General features: G+C 44.9%; 1 annotated feature.

Annotated features, from left to right (window-relative positions):
- Positions 2,691–2,770: an enhancer, noted in NCBI's record as "active region_1400". NCBI's record gives its function as "activates an Ori minimal core promoter by ATAC-STARR-seq in GM12878 lymphoblastoid cells {active_cell/tissue: GM12878}" and the evidence as "EXISTENCE:reporter gene assay evidence [ECO:0000049][PMID:35858748]".

Raw genomic sequence — 7,634 nt, forward strand, 5'->3', positions numbered from 1 at the left:
CTCAGAGTTGCAGGTGGAGCAGCGGCGGCTGCATCAGCGTCTCAAATTGCGAAAACATTTTGGGCTGAAGTATTTCTTTGTAGCATTTCGTGGAGCCCCTTTCCTTTGATATACACTAGCCTTCCGACTTCCCTTTGTTCTTTTTTCACACGTCAGGTTTTATCGCTGACAAGCTCCAACGCGTCAAAGGCGTTAGATCTGAGGGCTGCAGCAGCCTTCGCGGTTCCGCATTGAGCTCCTTCCTGCAGCCCTCTGCGGAGGTCACGGCCACGTGTGGGCAGGGAAGGCCCCCTACCCACTTCCTCATTCGGACCCGTCACCTTTAGCCGGCGACCACCTTTTGATCTCTTGTGTTGCACTTGTGTCCCCCGTTTCTCCTCCAGCTTCCCTGGAGTCCCTCATTGTGGAGCTGTTCACGGCCCCAGTCCCTGCACAGCGGGGTTTTGCACGAAAGAGGCCGTGAGGGCCAGAACTTAGTACAGCCTTGAATACTGGGGCGGGGAATGGGGGTAAGAAAAACAAAACCTCCCCACTGGTCCTCTTCTCTCTCTCTAGCACTGCATATTCATCTTGACACCAAGTCACACCCCCATCAGGAAGTCTGGTTTTGGGGGTAGTGGGCACAGGACGATTTGGGGGATTTTTGCATTTGTTTGAGCTACAGGGAAAGAGAAATATTTAACTCCTGAAAAGAATCAGCATACCAGGTGCCTTATTATACTGTGTGTATGTGCTATTGAGCAGTCTAGAAACCTTTCTGCAGTCGTGTTCTGCAGATTTCATCCCAACAGAAAATTGCATCTTCCAAAAAATGTAGTTCAAAATAATAAGGCTTCATTCATTTTTAAATGACCAGAGCATTTCCTTCTCTCAGGGGAGGGGGGCAGGGAAGGGGATTGTGTGGAGATCTGTACTAGGAAACAAATGCCTATAGGTGTAGGAGAGACATGTTTTATAATTTTAAGAATATACAAGGGACATCTGTTCTCAGTTTACACTGGGATGCTCATATATTTATTCTAAACAAGAAATTCAAATGGAAAAGGCTTCACTGTGCAGGAGAGACAGGAAAAGGAAGAGTGAAATCGTTGAGAGCACGGGTTTTGGTTTTGTGGTGACAGATTCAAGGCAATGAACACACATGATGTTTTGCTCCTCAGGGCCAGGTTGTCTCCAGTGTGTAGTGTATACACATTTAAATGATGGTTTGTAACTGCAGAGTTGTTATCTTGACTTTAGAATAATAAGAAAGAAAATAGAGAAAATGCAAGGGATACTCCACAGCTGTTCTTGATTTGTCACTGTGATACAATCTAGTTTTTTTGTTGTTGTATAGTTTATTTGTTTTATGGTTTTTGCCCTCCCTCACAATGGTCTAAAATTCTGAAGCTTCTCTGTCAGTTTCTGGATAACAGGGAACCATGTCTTCCTACCCTCATTTTGTTTTCATTTCCACAAATTGAAGGTAAAGGTATTTCCCTTCCACTTCATGCCAAGAAGTCAATGCTTGCTGCTGCATCCCCAGAAGAGTGTGACACGTATTAGGAGCTCAAGAAATATTTCCTAAATAAATAAACAATCCCAAGGCTTGTGCTCTTTCCACTGTGCCAACTTCCTTTTGCATCTTGATCCTTCTCACATGGCAACACCTTTTCAACACCTTTTCTGGGTAGGGACCTTCCCCCTCACTAACCACCCAGAGGTTAGACTCCTCTTGGGAGTCAGAAGATTGTGCTGCTTGCTCAAGATCCAGATGGCTTGCACTGTGCAGCTCACAGTAGATCTCTGTCATGCCTTCCAGCTGTCAAAATCCCAGTGGGATACTCTGGCTGGTCCACTTCCAGCTTCTTTCCCTGTCTGACCCCCTTTATAGGCTATATGCCTGGGATCTCCTTGCTCATGTCAAAGTGGGGAAGACGTGGCTTCTGTGGACTTGATGGTCCTACTGAGAAAAGCCAGATGAAACTTCGCTTGAAAGACTAGGGATAAGAAAGCCTACTTGGCATGACAGCATCCAAAATCCATTTGTTGGTCACAAGTTCTGAGATGGTTAATTGTATGTGTCAACTTGACTGGGCTGAGGGATGGCTGGGTAAAGCTGATAAACATAGTTTCCGCTGCTCCACCTGCAACTCTGAGTATTGCCTTCTCTTTAACTGCCACTTTGATACCGCAGCCTTTTGAAGTCCTTTTTCCTATATGTATTTGTAATTTATTTCTGCAACAGTCAATGAGGGTGCAATTACCATTTGAATCAGAAGACCAAGTAAAGAAGGTCCATACTTACCAATGTAGGTGGGAATCATCCAATAATCTGTTCAGTACCTGAGTAGAACAAAGGTAGGGGAAGGAGTTTGCCACCTTTTGCTTCCTGCCTGGTTGCTTGAGCAAGGACGTTGGTCTTTCCCTGCCCTTGTATATATCCTATTGGTTCTATTCCTCTGGAGAACCCTGATTAAATACAAGATTCTTGGGCTCGGTCATTTGAATGTTTCCAGTGGTTTCACCCAGATTCCTTTTAGCATCTATTTAAGTCATTGTGTTTCTAGTGTCCCATGCCCTGTGGTGAAAACTTCTGGGTTCGGGGGGTTGGGTTGGCTTAGGGCTAGGACTGGGCCAGAAATTCAGGGACACGCTACTTGGCTGCTTCCTCCAGCAGCCTGGGCAAGGCCCCTGAGCCTCCTCCTGAACCAATTTTTCAGCCTGACCTGAAATTCTTGTCCAGAACATTAGGACAGTGGGATCTTTAAGCTGGGAGCTTTGATGTTACTTCATGGAGTTCGCCTGTGATGGTTTCCCTTTCACTTTGTAGTAACTCTAAGAGTAGGTTCTAGGAACTAGGTTCTTGCCCGATTCTTTGTGTCTAAGCTCTGCTTATACTGCTGTTCTGGTAACTGAGTCCTAGTCTTGTTACCTACAGGGCCTGAGCTCCTGAACCCTTTCCCTGTACAGGGATCATGGCTCACTGTAGCTTCAAACTCCTGGGCTCAAGGGATCCTCCTGCCTTAGCCTCCCAAAATGCTGGGATTACAGGCATGAGCCACAGCACCTGCCCTCACCTTCTGGCATTTTTTGATCACCTTCTCTCGCCTTCCTTGTGCCCAGTTATCCTGGGACCAGAGTCTTGCTCCTAAATGCTGGACGCTGTGCTGGGTGTCTATTTCTGGGTTCTTCTGATACAATTACTTGGCTCTCTGAGGCAGTGCTCCAGCTGCCCGTCTACCCTGTTGGATGCAACTGGACTTCATGATGTCAGTACTCCCAGGGACTTCTTCCTAGTACTGACTTCACCCAAACAGGTCTGCGTGCCTTCAGGTCCCAGCTGTCCTAGTTTGGCTCATCACTTCAGTCTCACCCCTTCTGACTTTCACACACCTTCAGAGAGACTTCCTTGAGACAGGGTCTTGCTCTGTTGCTCAGGCTGGAGTGCAGTGGTGAGATCATAGCTCGCTGCAACCTCAAACTCCTGGGCTCAAGAGATCTTCCCACCTCAATCGCCCAATTAGCTAGGACTACAGGTATGTGCCAACATGCCCAGCTAATTTTTTATTTTTTTGGAGAGACAGGGTTTCTCTATTTTGCCCAGACTGGTCTTGAACTTCAAGGGCTCAAGTGATCCTCTTACCTTGGCCTTCCAAAATGTTGGGATTACAGGTGTGAGCCACTGCACCTTGCTTAGAGACACTTTCTTTAGAAAAGATTCAGAACACCAATTTGTCCCTAGCACCATTCAGTTTAAAACCCTTCAAAGGTTCCTCATTCCCTTTCAAAGAAAGTTCAAATTCCAAGTTATAATCATCCTTTACCAGATTGTAGTATGATACAGTTTTGTGTAGTGGCTAAGAGCACAGATCCTAGGTTCAGACTGCCTACATTCAAATTCAGGGGCTCCCTTTTAAGCCAGTTGATGTTTCTCAATCTGGGTCCTTGGACAATAGCCAAACAGCAGCAGCAAGCCTCTCCTATCTGCTTGCACACAGGTGGCACAAATTGCTATTGTTTCTATGACAACTGATGGCTTTTTTCCCCCATTTCATAAAAGCCGCCTGTATGGTGGACAGCAGCATGTGGAAGAAATGTGCTAGGCAGGGACTAGCCTGGTAGAACGCCCAAGCAACGTATACCGCGATTTTATTGTCTTCACCAGTCGTGGCTCTTTGTCTCCGAGTTCTGTCATATACTAGCTGTGTGAACTTGCTCTTGGGACTCAGTTTCCTTACCTATAAAATGGTGCTATTTACTCTTAAGGTAGTCAAGAGAATTAAATGAGTTGATATACCTAAAACACTTAGAACAGAATTTGACACATCATAGGCTGTTAGCTGTTATCATTTTTCAAGATTGAATCTCTAGCTGTCCACTTTTACCACATGTTCCACCTAGAGTGAACCACCAGTATTCCCCTTGAACATATCATGGTTTATGTTTATACCTGTTTATGTGTTATTTCAACAACTTGTCTTTCAAAACCCAGCAGGATTTCGGCTTAAGAGAAGTCTTCTTTTGCTTCCTATATGATTTAGATGATTCTACCATACTACACAAGCAACATCTACTATCACGCCATCTTTTAACCTGTAATTGACCTATTCTTTCACCTGCAATACAGGAGTCATCTTCAGAGGAAGGGATGCTTCTCAGTGTTTGAGTCTACAGCACCTAGAACAGTGTTTGCGGAGAGTGAATACTCATTCAGCGAAAGGATTCCATTGCTTGTAAAGTTATGATTATGACCTTGGTTTCCTCAGCTATTAAAGGAGCCAAGCTTGACCCTCCTTTAGCATGACCCAGAGTGGTTCAAGCCAGGAGCTGCTCTGACACTGACTCAGTCCCTGGGTGGTGATGACTCACTGCTGGGGCTTTACCTTCCAGAGCCTCTTCTGATAGATGGGATTTTCTGAAACTTCTTTCCTCCCATTGGATCCATGATTCCAGCACTGTCCTCCACAGCTCAGGGAGAGGGTGCTTTGTTCTGTGGACTGTGCAAAGACCTTCTTGCTGTAGAATGTGTGACTATGACTGAGCTATTCTCAGAGGCTCATCAGAAGTGCTAGAAGAAATACCTTGATTGTCAGAGACGTTTAGTTACCTATAAATATCTCTTTCCTCTTTTACTTAGCAGCAGTAATTTATTCAAAGTAGCAATGAATCCAGCCTAAAGACTGTGTTTTCCATACACCTTGCAGCTAGGTATGGCCATATAATTAGATTCCAGCCAGTGAGTTTTACACGGAAGTGTTGGCTGGTACTTCTGGCAAACCTTTGTAGAAAGGGAAGAGTGTGCCTTTTTCCCTCTTTCCTGCTGTTTGGAATGTGGTTGTGACTGCTGTGGAAATAACAGCCACTGTGGACCCTGAGGCTGAGGCCCTCAGCCTAAAAGTGGAAAGGAAAGCTGAAAGGAGCCTGGGTCCCCAACTATGGCAAAACTCCCATAGCAGCCCAGGTCTGCCAATTTCTGGCTTTTGTCAGGGCTCTTTTTAACTTATTTTAATATTTTATTTCTTACCAAACACCTAGAATTCAAGAAGATAGGGCTCTTTTTGACTCTCTGTCTCATGCGGCTAAGCCAAATCCGACTGATCTGGTGTGCAATTTGTTCTCGTCCCAGCAGGAGCATGCGAAAAGCTTCTGAATGAATTTGGACCATGGCTCAGAATCGAGCCTCAAACCAACCCACTTGCCTGGTGTGAGGTTGTGTTGTTTTGTAGCCTCTGGAAACTTTGCCCTGCGAATGGCTGCCCCCCTGCCTCCTACTGTTTCCATGTGATTCCCAACCTCACTCCCTCAGGTCTCTAGTTTCTTCTACCCTTCATTTGGATTTGACTTTCTGCCTGGTGACAGACCGGCCGCCCAGCTCGTGTCACCCATGGCTTTAACACCAAACCGCTAAGTCTCCACTCCCGGCTCACTGATCTGTATGTACAAACCTTGGATACTCTCAGCTTCCTTCAGTACTGACAAAGCATAAAGAGCAGGAGAGAGACTCCCAGAAGGTCTGCTAACATATCTCTTCTCCATGAGTCAAACAGACCTGAATTTTTACATGAGGTTAATATAGTTAAGGCCACTCTGTCCCATCTCTCAGGCAGATGCGTTCAGTATTGGGTGAGCCACCAGGGATTGCCAGCCATTTAGAGCCTACTGTGGAAGGATGGGGTTACTGATTTATGGGGAAACCATTCTGCAACAGACGCAAAGAGGCCATCAGTTAAGAGAAAGCCATGGCCACCCGGCCTTGGGCTCTATCAGCGTGATCCTTGGCCGTTCAGCCTCACCCTTGGGAACTGTTCCTTTCCCAATGCTAGCCTTCATCACCAATTTAATTATGATTTCTTAGAGATGATTATAGCTTCTCCTGATGAGAACAGATCCCATCAGGCTGAGGTCCACACCTCTGTTGTTGTTACACCTGCTATATATTCTAACAATTCTAACAGCAGAGTCACCCCTGCTGTTCCCCGTAGGATGACGCTGGTGTAAAAAGGTTACCGTTGCTTCAGTGGCCCTTGGAGAGGGGAATTGGGGGTTGAGTCTTTCTCAAAGCATTCCCACATCGAGGCTTGTATTTTAATTAACCCTCAATCCTAAGCAAATATGTGATAGCCCACTTGAAGGGTGCAGATTTGCTTGCTTGGCAGAAATTCAGGGGCTCCCTTTTAAGCCGGTTGATGTTTCTCAATCTGGGTCCTTGGACAATAGCCAAACAGCAGCAGCAAGCCTCTCCTATCTGCTTGCACAAAGGTGGCACAAATTGCTACTGTTTCTATGACAACTGATGGCTTTTTTCCCCCACTTCTTAAAAGCCACCTGTATGATGGACAGCAGCATGTGGAAGAAATGTGCGAGGCAGTGACTAGCCTGGTAGACTGCCCGAGCAATGTATACCGCGATTTTATTGTCTTCACCAGTCGTGGCTCTTTGTCTCCGAGTTCTTTCCATTGTTTGCCATGCAAGTCACATAGAAGGAGGAATAATAGCTGTTAGGCTGAAGGAAGAGAGACCCCAGCAATTTGTATGCAATCTCATTTGAACTCTTGGATTTGGGAAGGCAGTTTTGCTTCCCCCCCTTTTTTTTTTTTTTTCTAAACTGCTGCTCAGCTTCTTGTGCTTAATGAGGCTTTTCAGAAGGGAAAACTAGCAAACAACAAAACATGAGTTCTGCCCTTTAAGCAATTGCTTTCTAAATTCTTTATCAGAATATAGTTGTACTATCAAGGTGAGTAAAGAATTTCTATATTTGTAATTTACAGTGCCTTACGTCAAACAAGTCAGATTGCGTGGCTCCTGTAACAGCAGTGGCATTTAACATCCCATTTCAATGAATGAGGGATCTATAGGAAAAATTAACTTTCTGAAGATAATAATTACCTAATTAAGTTAAATATTTCTGGTTGGTGGTTCCCAGTGAGAGGGCTGAATATCTTTGGAAGGGCATAAACGTCAGTGCAAGGTGTGGCAAATCTATTAGAGAATCACTATGTCGACAGTCTGAATAAATACAATGACTCCCACAGATTGGTCATTTTATTTTTGAACTGTGACTAGATACTGTTTCAAATAGCAAAGTGCAAATGTATTTACTTTTTTTCCTTTTTTTTTTTTTTTTTTTTTTTTTTGAGATAAGGTCTCACTCT

The sequence above is a fragment of the Homo sapiens genome, chromosome 1, assembly GCF_000001405.40.
Source record: "Homo sapiens chromosome 1, GRCh38.p14 Primary Assembly".
NCBI classification, from domain to species: domain Eukaryota; kingdom Metazoa; phylum Chordata; class Mammalia; order Primates; family Hominidae; genus Homo; species Homo sapiens.